Here is a 14,905-nt window from a genome sequence, read left to right as displayed (position 1 = left end):
AGGGAAGGTCAGCCTCGGCCCTTGCCCCAGCCACAGTCACAGATAAAGGGGCCTGCACAGGTCTGTGTGGCTCCAGAGCTCGTCACCCAACACACGACGCTTCCATGTGAATAGCCCCAGGTGCATCATGAAGAGCGATGGCCGCTGCAGAGGCAGAAGAATCCCGCGGGGAAGCAGGTGGGAGAGAGGCTGAGAACAGACCAGACCTGGAGCTACAGACCCTATGTTCCAACCCTGGCTGGGACTAGCTGTGTGGCTCTGGGCAAATTCACATGCTTCTCTGTGCACAGGGGATCAAAATAGCAAACACAGGCTAGGCACAGTGGTTCACACCTATAATCCCAGTGCTTTGAGAGGCCGAGGTGGACACATGGCTTAAGCTCAGGAGTTTGAGACCAGCCTGGGCAACATGGTGAAACCTCGTCTCTACAAAAAAAATACCAAATAAATTAGCCAGGCGTGGTGGTACGTGCCTGTGGTCTCAGCTACTTGGAAGGCTGAGGCGGGAGGAACACTTGAGCCCAAGAAGTCAAGGCTGTGGCCGCGTGTGGTGGCTCACGCCTGTAATCCCAGCACTTTGAGAGGCTCAGGTGGGTGGATCACTTGTGATCAGGAGTTCAAGACCAGCCTGGCCAACATGGTGAAACCCCGTCCCTACTAAAAAAATACAACAATTTGCCAGGCGTGGTGGCGGGCACCTGTAATCCCAGCTACTTGGGAGGCTGAGGCAGGAGAATCGCTAGAACCTGGGAGGTGGAGGTTGTAGTTAGCCAAGATGGTGCCGCTGCACTCCAGCCAGGGGGACAGAGCAAGACTCCATCCCAAAAAAAAAAAAAACAAACAAACAAACAAAAAAAGAGGTCAAGGCTGCAGTGAACCATGATTGTGCCAATGCACTCCAGCCTGGGTGACAAAGTGAGACCCTGCCTCAAAACAATAAAAATATAAATAAAAATAAAACATAATAGCAAACGTTTCATAGAGGTGGTATGAGCATTAAATGAACTGATAAACGTCCCTGGAAAACAGTAAGTGCTATGGAAGGATTCGCTGCCGCCACCGCCACCACCATTAGCATGTTTCAACCTCCATCACCCTCACTGTCCCCTGTCACCATCCTTTGACCAGGGCACTCCCAGCTGCAGCCTTTCTATCCTCTTGTCCACCCTTCATAACTGTAAGATCACTCAGCTCCCAAGAACCACAGTCTACAGGGTAACCACATTTCCAAATCTCAAACCAGACCCGCTGGTCTGCACTTCCAGGGACAACAGGATATTTTCAAACCAGCCCAAAAGAGATGTGTGGCTCAGCATAAGAGGAACAGGAGAAACTGAGGCCTCTTGCCCTGAGAATGAGCTTGGAAGTGGATGTCCCGGCCTCACTCAAACCTTCAGATGACTGAGGCCCAGCCAGGAGCTTGAGTGTACCCTCAGGTCATACCCTGAGCCAGAAGCACCCAGCTAATCCACTCCTCATCACTGACTCCCTCCCCATAAAAAACCTGTTTGCTGTTTCAGGCTGTTAAGTTGTGGGCTGTTTTGTTACACAGCAATGGATAACTAACACACGAGGCCTGGCAAGTGTGGAGCAAAGCTGCCCAAGCCCTCAAGTCTGTTCATGTGGGTGTTGGCCTGTGTTTGCAGAAATCCAGCCACTGAGTCCTCCCATGCAGTCACTACTGCCCTCTGCACAGACACCTGCCACATCCCTGCCTGGGCCAGGAGCTCCACTAGTGCAGGAATGGGGTCTGCCGTCCCAGGAGGATCCCTGACACCTAGCACAGGGCTAGCAGCAGGCAGCACTTGGTTAGTGAATAAACTGCCCTTCACCTGTACACAGAAGGGATGTTTCTATAAGGGGTAATTAAGTACAGAGCTGGGAAGCTATGCTGACCAGAAGGCTCTAAAAGCAATTAACCAACGAGGGGAAAACCCTTCCTACTCATTCTCGGCCCATTTTATTGAGCACTGACCATGTGGAAGGCCCCCTGGTGAGACTGGGGAATGCACCAATAACTGAGACAGCTTCCGGCTGTTGCCCTCAGGATGCCTGAGCTGGGATAGGGCCAGGGTGGGGGTGGTGCGTGTGACAGGGTTACTGTTCACAACCCTGCCGGGCCATAAGCCCTCCCCAACAATTCCAAAATCCAAAACGCTCTGAAGATGGAAAGCTTTTGTTGCTCATCTGGTGACAAAACCTCATTTGGTGCATGGGCCGGGTGCGGTGGCTCACGCCTGTAATCCCAGCACTCTGGGAGCCGAGGGGAAGGATCCCTTGAGCTTAGGAGTTTGAGACCAGCCTGAGCAACATGTGAGACCCCGTCTCTACCAAAAATACAAAAATTAGCCAGGTGTGGTGGCGCACTCCTGTAGTCCCAGCTACTCGGGAGGCTGAGGCGGGAGGATCGCTTGAGCCTGGGAGGTGGGGGCTGCAGTGAGCTGAGATTATGACATTGCACTCCAGCCTGGGTGAAAGAGTGAGACTCTGTCTCAAAAAAACAAAGTTAAAAAAAAAAAAACTGTGCATGGGTGTGGGCTACAGATAGTCTTTTCTGCCCTACTTAGAATGAACGTGCCACATTTGCTATAGAAATATTCAAGGGCTGGTGGCAAATGCCACACAGACCCTGACGCTGTTCCAAGTTCTGAGAAGTCCTGCATTCCTCAGGGCCCCAGAGTTTCAGAGAAGAGTCTGTAGGCCTGAGTTAAGAAGGAACGCCTTCAAAAGCCCTGGGGACAAAGGGGAAAGGGGTGCCCCAGGACTGCGTGGGTACCTACCGGAACGAGCCGTCCAGGTTGGCACGGTGGATGAAGCTGAGCTTGGCGTCAGCCCAGTAGAGCTTCTGCTCCTCCAGGTCGATGGTCAGTCCATTGGGCCAGTAAATGTCCGAGTCCACAATGATCTTCCGGGTGCTGCCATCCATCCCTGCCCGCTCAATCCGGGGCGTCTCACCCCAGTCTGTCCAGTACATGTACCTGTGACGGGGGCAGGGCAAGAGAAGCAGCTAACACAGATCTGTTTTTTGTTTTTGTCTGCATAGATGCAGACATGAAACAACAGACAGTGAACTTGCCCTAAAATCTCACCCATCGGAAATAACCAACAGGTATGGTTTCAGGTATTCCTGCCTTAAGCTGGGCAATCAAAATATACTATTTCCAACTTGTTCTCAGTTAACAGTAAATTCTGGGCACCTTCCCTTCTTGTGGATAGAAAGATTCCTTGTTCTTTTGATGATTGCCTAGTGTACTCTGCTGTAAGTTTTTTAAAGAACTTCAGGTTATTTCTGATTTTTTTGCTACCATGAAAATGCTGTAAATGAACCTCTAAAAGGCAATTCAAAACACTCAGGATGGAATATTATTTAGTGGTATAAAGAAATGAGCTATCGGCTGGGCCCAGTGGCTCACACCTCTAATCCCAGCACTTTGGGAGGCCAAGGCGGGTGGATCACGAGGTCGGGAGATCAAGACCATCCTGGCTAACACAGTGAAACCCCGTCCCTACTAAAAATACAAAACATTAGCCAGGCGTGGTAGTGAGCACCTGTAGTCCCAGCTACTTAGGAGGCTGAGGCAGGAGAATCATTTGAACCCGGGAGGGGGAGGTTGCAGTGAGCAGAAATCGCACCATTGCACTCCATCCTGGGCGACAGAGCGAGACTCCATCTCAAAAAAAAAAAAAAGAAAAGAAAAGAAATGATCTATCAAGCCATGAAAAGACATGGAGGAAACTTAAATGCATGTTAGTAGGTGAAAGAGCCAATCTGTATGAGTCCAGTTCTAAACACTCTGGAAAAAGCAAATACACAGAGACAGTAAAGCATCAGTGGTTGCCAGGAGTTGGAGAGGAGAGGGATGAATGAGTGGAGCACAGAAAATCAGGGCAGTGGAACTATCCTGTATGACATGGAATGGTGGGTGCATGTCCTTACTCATCTGTCTAAACCAAGAATGTACAAATCAAGGGCGAACCCTCGTGTAAACGTGGATTTTGGGTGATGGTGCGTCAGCCAGCTTTCATCAGTTGTAACAAATGTACCACCCTGCACAGGATGCTGACAGTTGGGAAGGCTGTGTGGGTGTGAGGACAGGGATGTATAGGAACTCAGTACCTGCTGCTCATCAATTTTGCTGTGAACCTACAACTGTTTGAAAAAATTAAGTCTATTTAAAAACAACAAAACATGGCCAGGCACGATGGCTTGCACCTGTAATTCCAGTACTTCGGGAGGCTGAGGTGGGTGGGTCACTTGAGCCACCCTGGGCAACATGGCAAAATCCCACCTCTACAAAAAATAAAAATTAAAAAAAAGTTAGCTGGGCATGGTGGCACACTCTTGTAGTCCCAGCTACTTGGGAGGCTGACGTGGGAGGATCCCTTCAGCCCTGGGAGGTCGAGGCTGCAGTGAGCTGTGACTGTACCACTGCACTCCAGCCTGGATGACAGAGTGAGACCCTGCCTAAAAAAAAAAAAAAAAAGGCTGGGTGCGGTGGCTCATGCCTGTAATTCCAGCGCTTTGGGAGGCCGAGATGGGCGGATCACGAGGTCAGGAGATCGAGACCATCCTGGCTAACACGGTGAAACCCCGTCTCTACTAAAAGTACAAAAAAAAAAATTAGCCGGGCATGGTGGCGGACACCTGTAGTCACAGCTACTCGGGAGGCTGAGGCAGGAGAATGGCGTGAACCCGGGAGGCGGAGCTTGCAGTGAGCCAAGATCACACCACTGCACTCTCAGCCTGGGAGACAGCAACACTCCGTCTCAAAAAAAAAAGAATAAAACCCATGGCTGGGATGGACCCTGAACCTGCAGCTGCAGCTGTTCCTGGGTAGGTCTGTGGGCGACGTGGCTTTGCTTCTCCATGTTCCCAAGAGACAAGCATCACCCATCCATGAGAAACAAGCACATCCTCAGGGCGCCCTTACGTGATCTCTGGCCAATGAACCAAGACAAAGTGAGCAGACACCAGGTCTGGGATGGCAGGTCCCACCCCCACCAGTGCCCAGTGTGCCCTGTTTGGAGGTGACCACAGGGTGTGTGCCCAGAGGCTGGGCGTGACTCTCAGCGGAGACCAGAGGGGAACCACACCAGCTTGGAGGACTCAGTTCCCATCCCAGCCAGCTGGGATGAGCCACAGGACACAAGGGCTGGCAGACCTATTGTGTTTTGTCCACCCTTCACAGCAGAGAAAGGGGACAGTGCCCAGAATGTCCTCTGAGGAGCCTCCTCCCACTCTTGGTCCTTGTAAAATGGTGCTGACTCCCTTGCTCCCTTCTTCCTGGGGTGGGCGGCAAACCCCATTCCCCTCAGCCTTAGCAAGTGATTTAGAAACAGGCAGCTCGCCCAAGCCAGGCATGAGAGTGATCCCGGGACACAGGGAGAACAAGCCCCGCTTTGCCCTCTGGGGGTCTCCATTCAGCAGAAGAGGCAAATGACAGACACACAGCCGCCTCCTCCCCCACCATGGTGCTCTGCAGCCTCAGGAGCCTCAGGTGCACCAAGGGCCACCCCATCCAGGGGGCCATGCTTCCTTGAGTGGTATCGTTCCTGAGCGAGTACCATCTCCACCTTCCAGAGGGGCTGTGACAAGATCAACAAGAATGAGGGCATAGGAGCCTCGAACCAAACATGCCCTCTTCCCTGCAGAGGCTGACTGCGCCCAGCTGCTATCACCAAGCCCCTGCTCCTCCGGCCCCGTGGGGACAGGGTAAGAGGGGTGTCACATGGAACAGCTCTCCAAACAGTCCCTCTCAAGCTGCTGTCTCCTGTGCATCTAGTGAGAACCCAACCAACAAAGGGAAGGTGGGAATTGCTATTCCCATTAGGCAGATGAGAAAACTGAGGCCCCGAAAGGCTGGCCTGTTCCAGGTTACAGGCGCTGAGCGGCTGCTCTGGGAACACACTTGGTGTCTGCTGAGGGCCCGAGCCCGGCCATCATATGACTCACCCTTCGCCAGCAAAGCCCGGGTGTGGGTGAACTTTTCCTGGCAGCCTGGGACTCCAAGGTGCTGGCAGCCAGCCCAGGGAAGGCTCCCGCGTGCCTGCGGCAGACGCCTTGCTTTACCTGCACGTCCCCACCCCTAGGAGCCTGGACAGAGCCCAGACCCTCCGCCACCTCCTGAGAAGGTATCAGGGGCATCAGTCTGGACTTGGGGGGGAATCCACACAGGCCTTCCCCAAATGCTCCACCGTGGCCCATGGAAAAGGCTGGAAAACGTGCAGGAGCAGGAGCCTCCGCATGGAGCATAATTCACATTCCTTCCCCGAGTTTCATAACAGAGGCCTGCTGGTTTCCTTAAATGGGGAATTTGCGAGCCAGTCGGTGACCAGAGACTGGTTGGCGTGGACGTGCTCTTGCAGAGTCTCAAACGCTACCACAAGCCCAGCCAAATTCCACGGAGGAAAATCGACTTCCGAAGAAAAGAGCTGCAGCATGGCCTTCGTGCAGAGCCAGCTGCGGTTGTGGTTGTGTGTTATTTTAGGGAAGGGCCATTTTGCATTTTAAAGAGGGGGTTGGGTTTCACCCTGGCTTTAATTTGAGACCCGGGGGCCACTGCAGCCCCTTGTCAGGCTGGTACAGGCCGGGGACTCCTCCCATGCTAAGCCAGTGTCTTTCTGGCCCCAGATCCTCAGGGGCCAGAGGGTCATCCCCAGAGCCCGCTCTGCCACCCACATGGGTACCCTGGGCCTGGGAGGGATGTGCCTTCCCTCAACCCTGCCTGGATGTCCGCACGGGGCCACCTGCATTGCTGAAACTGCAACGAAGTCGAGTCTCAGGAGGGGCCCCCCTGGCTGCAGGGCTCTTGATCCTTTTGGCCACGTGCACACTGAGGTGGACGCTCGGACCCAGAGACCCCCTTCCTGATGATGGCCGGGGCAGGAACCCCCTCCTCTGAGGAAGGACCCTGGTGGGGGACAGCACTGCAGGAGGGCACAGGAGATGACGGGGGCTCTAGCAGGGCCGGGAGGAAGGCCAAGATGCTCCTCGCAACCGTGTGCCTGTGGCCAGGACAGAGGACAAACCCACCCTCCACTGTCCCCACTCTCAGGACAGCAGTCCTGCCCCAGGACTCAGCGCCCACACTTATGCCTGAGGACCACTATTCAAGTCAGTATTTGGCGAGCAGGGGTTGCTGCCGCGGGCGCTGTGACAGGCTGGAATCCTCTCCCTCTCCCTCTCCCTCTCCGGAGACATGGAGCCTACAGGGACAGAGTCAGCACCTCAGGGTAGGACCATGGCTGGCGTCATCAGCATCACTGGATCTGATGAGTGGGAGCCGGCATCTCACTGTTTTCACTCTCTCATTCAAATGACTGGAGCAAAGGGAAGGTGTGGGGAGAGGCCCAGGAATCAACACTAAGGTCAACTTTGCCCCAGGGGCAGGGGTGGGAGTGAACAGCCACAGGTGTGATCCTGGGGAGGGCTTCTGGGAGAGAATTCAGAGGCAAGCATGTAAAGGAACCATTTCAAATAGTTAAGAAAAGCCAGAGCCAAACAGGGACAGTTGGCTCGCAGAGATGATGCAGGCAAAGCCAGCTCAGATCTGAGCATGGGAAAGACTACTCCCAACCAAGGGCCCAGCATCTCCCAACCAAGCACCAAGTACCTCCCAACCAAATGCCAAGCACCTCCCAATCAAATACCTCCCAACCAAGCACCTAGCACCTCTCAACTGGACACCAACTACTCCCAACCAGGCACCAAGTACCTCCCAACCAAGTGCCAAGCACCTCCCAACCAAGTACCAATTACCTCCCAACCAAGCGCCTAGCACCTCCCAACTGAGCATCATGCACCTCCCAACAGAGCATCTAGCACCTCCCAACTGATCACCTCCCAACCTAGCACCGAGCACCTCCCAACCAAGTGCAGAGCACCTCCCAACCAAGTGCCAAGCACCTCCCAATCAAATACCTCCCAACCAAGCACCTAGCACCTCTCAACTGGACACCAACAACTCCCAACCAAGCGCCAAGCACCTCCTAACAAAGTACCAATCACCTTCCAACCGAGCACCTAGCACCTCCCAACTGAGCATCATGCACCTCCCAACAAATCACCTAGCACCTCCCGACTGATCACCTCCCAACCTAGCACTGAGCACTTCCCAACCAACATAGCAAAAGCCATAAAGAAGTAAAAAGACAAAACCACGTAGGCATGGAGACTGGACTTCTGGTGGCGAGGAAAGGGCATTTTTATTATAACGACAGCTAACATTTGTTGAACTCACAAACTGTTCTTGGTGTTTTCCTCATGACATGCAGCATGGTCACGCCTCTGTACAGACAAGGATACTGAGGCACAGAGTGGCACCGTGCCAACCTTGTCTCATCTTTTTATCGAACCTACATGCAGAGTGCCAGCAAATCCAGCTGTCTTTTCTCTTCAGAACAGATCCCAAATCTCGCCACTCCTTACCCCCACAAGTGAGGTGTCCCCGCTGCTGCTTTCTGTCGCCAGGATCCCGGTAATAACCGTGGAGAGGGCTCCTGCCCCCACGCCACCCACCCCACAGCTCACTCTCGCTCCAGCCACCAGGGGATGCCTTCCAGCACGAGTCAGAGCTGGCACCTCCTCTGCTCGAGACCTCATGTGTCCTCTCCTCACACCTTGGGCCCTGTTTCCCTACATTCTGCTACAGCCCCTCAAACAGGCCCCGCCCCAAACCAGCCCAGGGCCTTTGCACTGGCTGATCCCTCTGCCTGGACCGCGCTGCCCCCAGACAGCCACACGGTTCTCAGCCTCATCTGCTTCCAGTCTCGACTCAAAAGTCACCAAGAGGCCTTCCCAGCACCTGAGCTCCGACGGAAGCCCCTCGCCACAGCACCCAAGCACTGCTTTATCCCCCTACGCACACGTCCCTTTCAAATACTATTCATTTACCATCTCCTCCCACTCACTGAAAGGGCCAGAGACTGGGCTATACCCGCTGCGTGGGGAGCAGGACCAGGCGCAAGGGCTCACAAATGCAGTGGATGCCTGGTTGGGAGGTGAGGGAGCTGCAGCGACCCACGCTGGGAGGGAACGCAATGACAGGAGGAGCGCAGGTCCTGGCGACACGATGGCCATGGCAGCCGCTGGTGAGCAACCGCAGGCCGGCCCTGGGAGAGGGCTTCTAGCAAGCTGCTATCTTCAGCCTCTCCGACTACTGCAGATGCCCCCTCCTAGCCAGAGACACTGCTACACCAGCCGACCCTTCCAAAAAGAAGGTCAGTAACCCCGCGACTCCTGGAGCCACAGTGCAGGGGGAGAGGGCTGAGAGGGCAACAGTTCACCAAGCGGAACAGAGGCTGCCCCGGAGGTCAGCTGGCTCCCCGGCAGCTGCAGGGGTGGCTAGCCCACTCGGAGGGCAGCGAGGGCATACGAGGGGCTCCAGGGATGAGTGGTTGCCCAGCACAGCACCCCTGGGAGGCCGGGGGCACTTCTCAGGTAGTGGGGGCACGAGGCTGCTCTGGCCTGACCTCAGGGACTCAAAATACTTTGGCGATAAATTCCACCGTGTCCCACCCCTGCTGGTACCCCATACTTACACACAGACTGGTTCAGATGCAGACACTCTCGCGCACATACTCGCTCACACGGGCACATACACGTGCACACACAGTCACATGCGCACACTCATACACACACAAATATCCACTCACACGCATGCATGCACACACACGGACACACACAGGCTCACACGTATGCACGCATATGCGTGCACACGCACACACACACACACACGCTCACATCCTCCCACTCCCACACTCAGTTGCTCAGACACACACACGCCTGGCTCTCACACAAACCTGTTGGGCTCTGAAAGGCTCCAGCCCTTCCCATGCTCGTCAGAAGCCAGTCAATGGCTTCCTAAGTCACCACACAGATCAAAGAGGTGAACTTGGCCACATGGCACTCTGCTTCCTGAGCTCCCAAACACCAGCCTTGGTGAGGACAGACCCTCACCCCACACCCTCATTCCCACTACCCTGGGCAGGCCCAGAGGAGGGGCATCTGCAGGATCTGGCAACCAGCCCCTCCCGCCCGGCTCCTGCAGCCGGCACCATGGGAGTCAGGGGGAGGTCACTGCAAAGGGCAACAGCAAGTTGGTGGCCCCAGGACTAGAGCCCAGGGGTCTTCAGTCCTACTCCAGAGCTTGGACACTGTCCCACAGGGCATGGCCAAGGGAAGGGCTTCCAGAGCCCTGACTTCAGGGAGGAGGGCAGGCGGGCTCCTGTGGCAGGCCTGGATGCATGGCCGCCCACTCCTGGGACTTTCTAACCTAGAAGATCTAGGTCAGGCTGGGTGCAGTGGCTCACGCCTGCAATCCCAACACTTTGGGAGGCCGAGGAGGGTGGATCACTTGAGGTTAGGAGTTTGAGACCAGCCTGGCCAACATGGCGAAACCCTGTGTCTACTAAAAATACAAAACCTAGCCAGGTGTGGTAGTGCACGCCTGTAATCACAGCTACTCAGGAGGCTGAGGCAGGAGAATCACTTGAACTCGGGAGGTGGAGGTTGCAGTGAGCTGAGATCGTGCCATTGCGCAAAGAAGATCTAGGCCGGCCCCTCAACCGGTGAGGTCCAGGCTGGGAGTGCTGAGAGACTGTGGTGACACTGAATGAACTAACAGGCAAAGGGCTTCCAACTGAGCCTGGGGGTGGTGGGAAATGGCTCTTGTGTTCTAGTCAAGACCTCTGCCAACCAGTTCTGACACTGACCCAGCACAGAACCTGACAGGTCAGCAAGGGCCAGGGCTTAGCACAGCCCAGGTAAGGGTGTGTGTACGGCCCCCAGAGTCACTCCCAGGCTGCAAGAAAAGGGACAAAGGAGGGACAAGGGGTGGCCAAGCAAACTGTTCCCTCTGCTCGGGAGTCTGGGGTGACCTGGCCTAGCTGGCCAGTGGAGCTGGGCCACCTCCCCTTAAACTCTCCACCCCGGACTTCGACTCCAAAGCTTTCCTGCCACCCACGCTCTCCCCACCTGGGATCACGGCCAGGCCCTGAGCCTTCAAGGGCCCAGGTGAACTCAGCCAGACTAGGAGCTGAGGAGGACACAGGGCAGCTTCCAGAACGGACCCGAGAACCACTCCCAGCAGGTTCTGCTTCCAGACAAGGAGCTGCACTTTTTCAGCCAATGCAATTAGAAAGCCAGGAGAAGGTGCAAATTCCACCTGCCTGAGCGTCCGCACTTCCCAGGCCGCCCACCATACACACAGCAAAGATGTGTTTAACCATTCAAACCCATGGCCAACCACATCGGTTGCCTCAGACATGCAAGTTTTAAAAAGGAACATAACTATGGGCCAGGCACGGTGGTTCACGTCTGTAATCCCAGCACTTTGGGAGGCCGAGGTGGGTGGATCACCTGAGGTCAGGAGTTCGAGACCAGCCTAGACACCATGGTGAAACCCCATCTGTACCAAAACTACAAAAATTAGCTGGGCGTGGTGGTGGGCGCCTGTAATCCCAGCTACTTGGGAAGCTGAGGCAGGAGAATCACTTGAACCCGGGAGGCGAAGGTTGCAGTGAGCCGAGATTGTGCCACTGCACTCCAGCCTGGGCAACAAGGGAGACTCCATCTCAATTAAAAAAAAAAAAAAAAAAAAGGAACATAACTATGGAATCTCAAGGGGAAGTAATTCCTTCAACAATAACAAATCTTGAAAGCTGAGCTCTTTTTTTTTTTTGAGACAGGATCTCCTCACTTTGTCGCCCAGGCTGGAGTGCAGTGGTGGGATCACAGCTCACTGCAGCCTCGATCTCCCAGGCTCAAATGATCCTCCTACCTCAGCCTCCCAAGAAGCTGGGATTACAGGTGCATACCATCACACCCGATTCATTTTTGTATACTTTGTAGAAATGGGGTCTCACCATGTTGCCCAGTGTGGTCTTGAATTCCTGGACTCAGGTGATCTGCCCGCCTTGGCCTCCCAGAGTGCTGGGATTACAGGCCTGAGCCAACACCCCCACGGGTTCATTTTCAGAGTCGCACCGAGTGCTGGGGTTACAGGCCTGAGCCAACCCCCCCACGGGTTCATTTTAAGAGTGACACCGAGTGCTGGGGTTACAGGCCTGAACCAACCCCCCCACGAGTTCATTTTCAGAGTCGCACCGAGTGCTGGGGTTACAGGCCTGAGCCAACCCCCCCACGGGTTCATTTTAAGAGTGACACCGAGTGCTGGGGTTACAGGCCTGAGCCAACACCCCCACGGGTTCATTTTCAGAGTCACACCGAGTGCTGGGGTTACAGGCCTGAGCCAACCCCCCCACGGGTTCATTTTCAGAGTCACACCCTTTTTCTGAAAAACAACTTGGGCTCATGCAAATTCGAGAGAGAGATGGTGACACTCCCCGCCCCCTGGACCCAGGTGGAGTCGCAGCAGGGTTTACCCGTGAGCGGGGTCCAAGGCGATGGCCCTCGGCTGGTCAAGGTCCTGCCAGAAGAGCACCTTCCGGGATGTGCCATTGAGGTTGGCCACCTCGATGCGGTTGGTCTCTGAGTCCGTCCAGTACAGCTTCTTGCCCACCCAGTCGCAGGCGAGGCCGTCGGGAGAGACCAGGCCGGAGATGACCACGTTCTGCACGGCGGCCCCCGTCTGGTTCAGGTAGGTCTGCTTGATGGCCTCCTCGCTCACGTCTGTCCAGTACACGGCTCCCTTGGAAAACTGGAAGTCCACTGCGGCCGCATCCTCCAGGCCGCTGACCACGATGGTGGACTCCAGCTTGACTCCGCCGGCGTCCACCAGCCGTACGTCCCGGCGGTTGGCAAATAGCAGGAGCGGCGAGGCTGTGGGGCAGAAGCAAACCGTGAGGGCCACTGGCTAAGCCAGCAAGATACACAGCCCTGGGATGGAGCACTATGCCCAGAGCACTCCTGGTACTGCCCTGCCCATGCCCAAGACCTCCAGTTCCTTCCTCCCACCCCTAAGGCGTTGTCAGGAAGTTGCCTGGGCAGCCCCGGCCCGCATCATTCAGAGGCTCCTGCAGCGCAGCAAACAGCCTTCTTCCCACATTCGGTGACAGCACCTGTTTGTTTACCAACTGTTACGTCTGTTCCCCCAGATATGGGTGACCCTTCCTGCCATGCCCAAAACCTCCCACATCGTCCTCCAGAGGCTACAGGGGCCCTGTCCTGTTCTGCAGAGAAGCCACATCCCCTTTGTTGGCCTGACACAGGGGATGGGGACATGCAGGCACAGCACTGGCCATGCTGCTCGCTACAGACCCAGCCACAGGGCCACATTTTTTGAGGGGTTCAGAGCCCAGGCCAGACAGAGCCTCAAGATTCCCTTACAAGTCTTTGACCACTGTCCAAGCTCAGGCCCGTTTCCTTGGCCGTGGCATCAGCTTCCCATCCACCCCTGTATTCCATGTTTCTCCCACCCTGCTTCTGGACATTCCTACATTTAAAGGGTCACTCTGGAATGCCACCCCTTGGCTCAGACACCTTCCACAGCTCCCTGTGCCAGTGCCATGCAGAACAAGGTCAGACCCCCTAGCCTGGCCTCCAAGGCCTTGGCCTCTGGCCTCACCTACACTTCTCTCCACCACCCCACCCCAAGCATTCCTGATCTGCCTGCGGCCAGGCTGGCTCCCTCACCTCCCTCTGCACCGCAGCCCTCAGCCCCTTCTGCCTGTGCAAGAAGCCTCATCTCACAGACAACGGTCTCATTCCCACAACGGGCTCAATGAGAAATCAGGAGAGGCCTTCAGACCATCACCCCACCAGACACCTCAGACGTCGGACCAGGAGGGTCCAGCAACCCCCAACACAGACTCAGAGGGACTAAGAAGCCACATGAGGAGTGAACACAAGATGTGGACAGGAGGAGGTTAAGGGCCTCCAGGGAGCTCCATCAGTCCGTGTCTGCTGTCAGCAGGGCTAGGCTGGGCTGGCCACAAACACCCCCAAAAAACATCTGAAGCCTTGGCTTGAAACAGCTGACATTCCTCATGAAAACTGCAGACCCCTGGGTCCTCCTGCGCAGATGGGGGAGCCCAGCCAACCCCACACTCCCACCTTCACCAAGAAAGAGAAAGCCAAAACAAACTCAACTCAGCCAATGACAATCACAGAACTGAATCCTGTAGTTAGTTCAGTTGGTTTCATTTCAGCAGGGGAAAGATTTGCAGCCTCTATGAGGGTAGCTGGGAACACAAAGGGCCAGAGCATGGCCCAGGAGACCCCAGCGCAGTGGGGTAGATGGTTCCGAGCACAGGCCTCCCTGCCAAGACAAGCACTGGCTCAAATCCTGGCCCCTCCCATTCCCAGGAGACATGCTCCACAGGATGGGAGGACACACAGAGGACCTGAGGCCAGGAAAATGACAGCGGCGCCTCCGCCGCCCCACCCGTGCTGTCATCATCTTAGGTCTACAGTTCTTTGTGGCAACGAGGGACACTGTGAAAGTCAAACAACAGGAAGGCATAGGCCACAAATAAAGACAAACGGGACTTCATGGGAAGCTAAAGATTTTGTGCATCAAAAGACACTATCGAGAGAGTAAAAAGGCAACCCACAGAATGAGAGAAAATATTTCCAAATCATAGATCTACTAAGAGATTAATATCCATGAAATACAGAGAACTCCTAAAACTCAACAATGAGAAAACAACTAAGCCAACTCAAAAATGGGCAAACAACTTGAACAGACATTTCTCCAAAGATGACATATAAATGGCCAATAAACACATCAAAACAGGCTTAATATATCCCTAATCATCAGGGAAATGCAAATCAAAACTACAATAAGATACCATCTTGCACCAATTAGGACGGCTACTATCAAAAAAACAAAATAGCAAGTGTTGGTGAGGATCTGGAGCAACTGGAACCCTTGTGCACCACTGGCAAAAATGTGAAATGGTGCAGCTACTATGGAAAACAGCATGGCAGTTCCCCAAAAACTTA

The 14,905-nt window shown here is 54.8% G+C and overlaps 1 protein-coding gene across 10 annotated transcripts in view, besides 2 other annotated features; it reads right to left on the bottom strand.

Moving 5' to 3' along the window:
• The window catches only part of LRP5 (LDL receptor related protein 5), a 150,864-nt gene that overhangs the window by 88,648 nt on the left and 47,311 nt on the right, over window positions 1-14,905 (bottom strand). For all 10 annotated transcript variants that reach the window (XR_001747874.2, XM_011545031.2, XM_011545029.2 and 7 more), the window contains exons 2-3: window positions 12,385-12,781; window positions 2,781-2,978 (exon numbers count right to left, since the gene is read on the bottom strand). Coding sequence is in view for 8 of the 10 variants with exons in the window: in XM_011545031.2 (XP_011543333.1) it covers window positions 2,781-2,978; window positions 12,385-12,781 (595 nt within the window). In the remaining 2 variants the exon portion in view is untranslated. The remainder of the gene's footprint in view (window positions 1-2,780; window positions 2,979-12,384; window positions 12,782-14,905) is intronic.
• Window positions 5,595-6,227: an enhancer, noted in NCBI's record as "H3K4me1 hESC enhancer chr11:68121869-68122501 (GRCh37/hg19 assembly coordinates)". NCBI's record gives its function as "activates a minimal SCP1, AML or CMV promoter by ChIP-STARR-seq in primed H9 embryonic stem cells {active_cell/tissue: H9 hESC(primed)}" and the evidence as "EXISTENCE:reporter gene assay evidence [ECO:0000049][PMID:30033119]".
• Window positions 6,861-7,494: an enhancer, noted in NCBI's record as "H3K27ac-H3K4me1 hESC enhancer chr11:68120602-68121235 (GRCh37/hg19 assembly coordinates)". NCBI's record gives its function as "activates a minimal SCP1, AML or CMV promoter by ChIP-STARR-seq in primed H9 embryonic stem cells {active_cell/tissue: H9 hESC(primed)}" and the evidence as "EXISTENCE:reporter gene assay evidence [ECO:0000049][PMID:30033119]".

Source organism: Homo sapiens, chromosome 11, assembly GCF_000001405.40.
Source record: "Homo sapiens chromosome 11, GRCh38.p14 Primary Assembly".
NCBI lineage: Eukaryota > Metazoa > Chordata > Mammalia > Primates > Hominidae > Homo > Homo sapiens.
The sequence above is the reverse complement of the archived record's forward strand: the minus strand, read 5'-3'. Positions and strand labels throughout refer to the sequence as shown.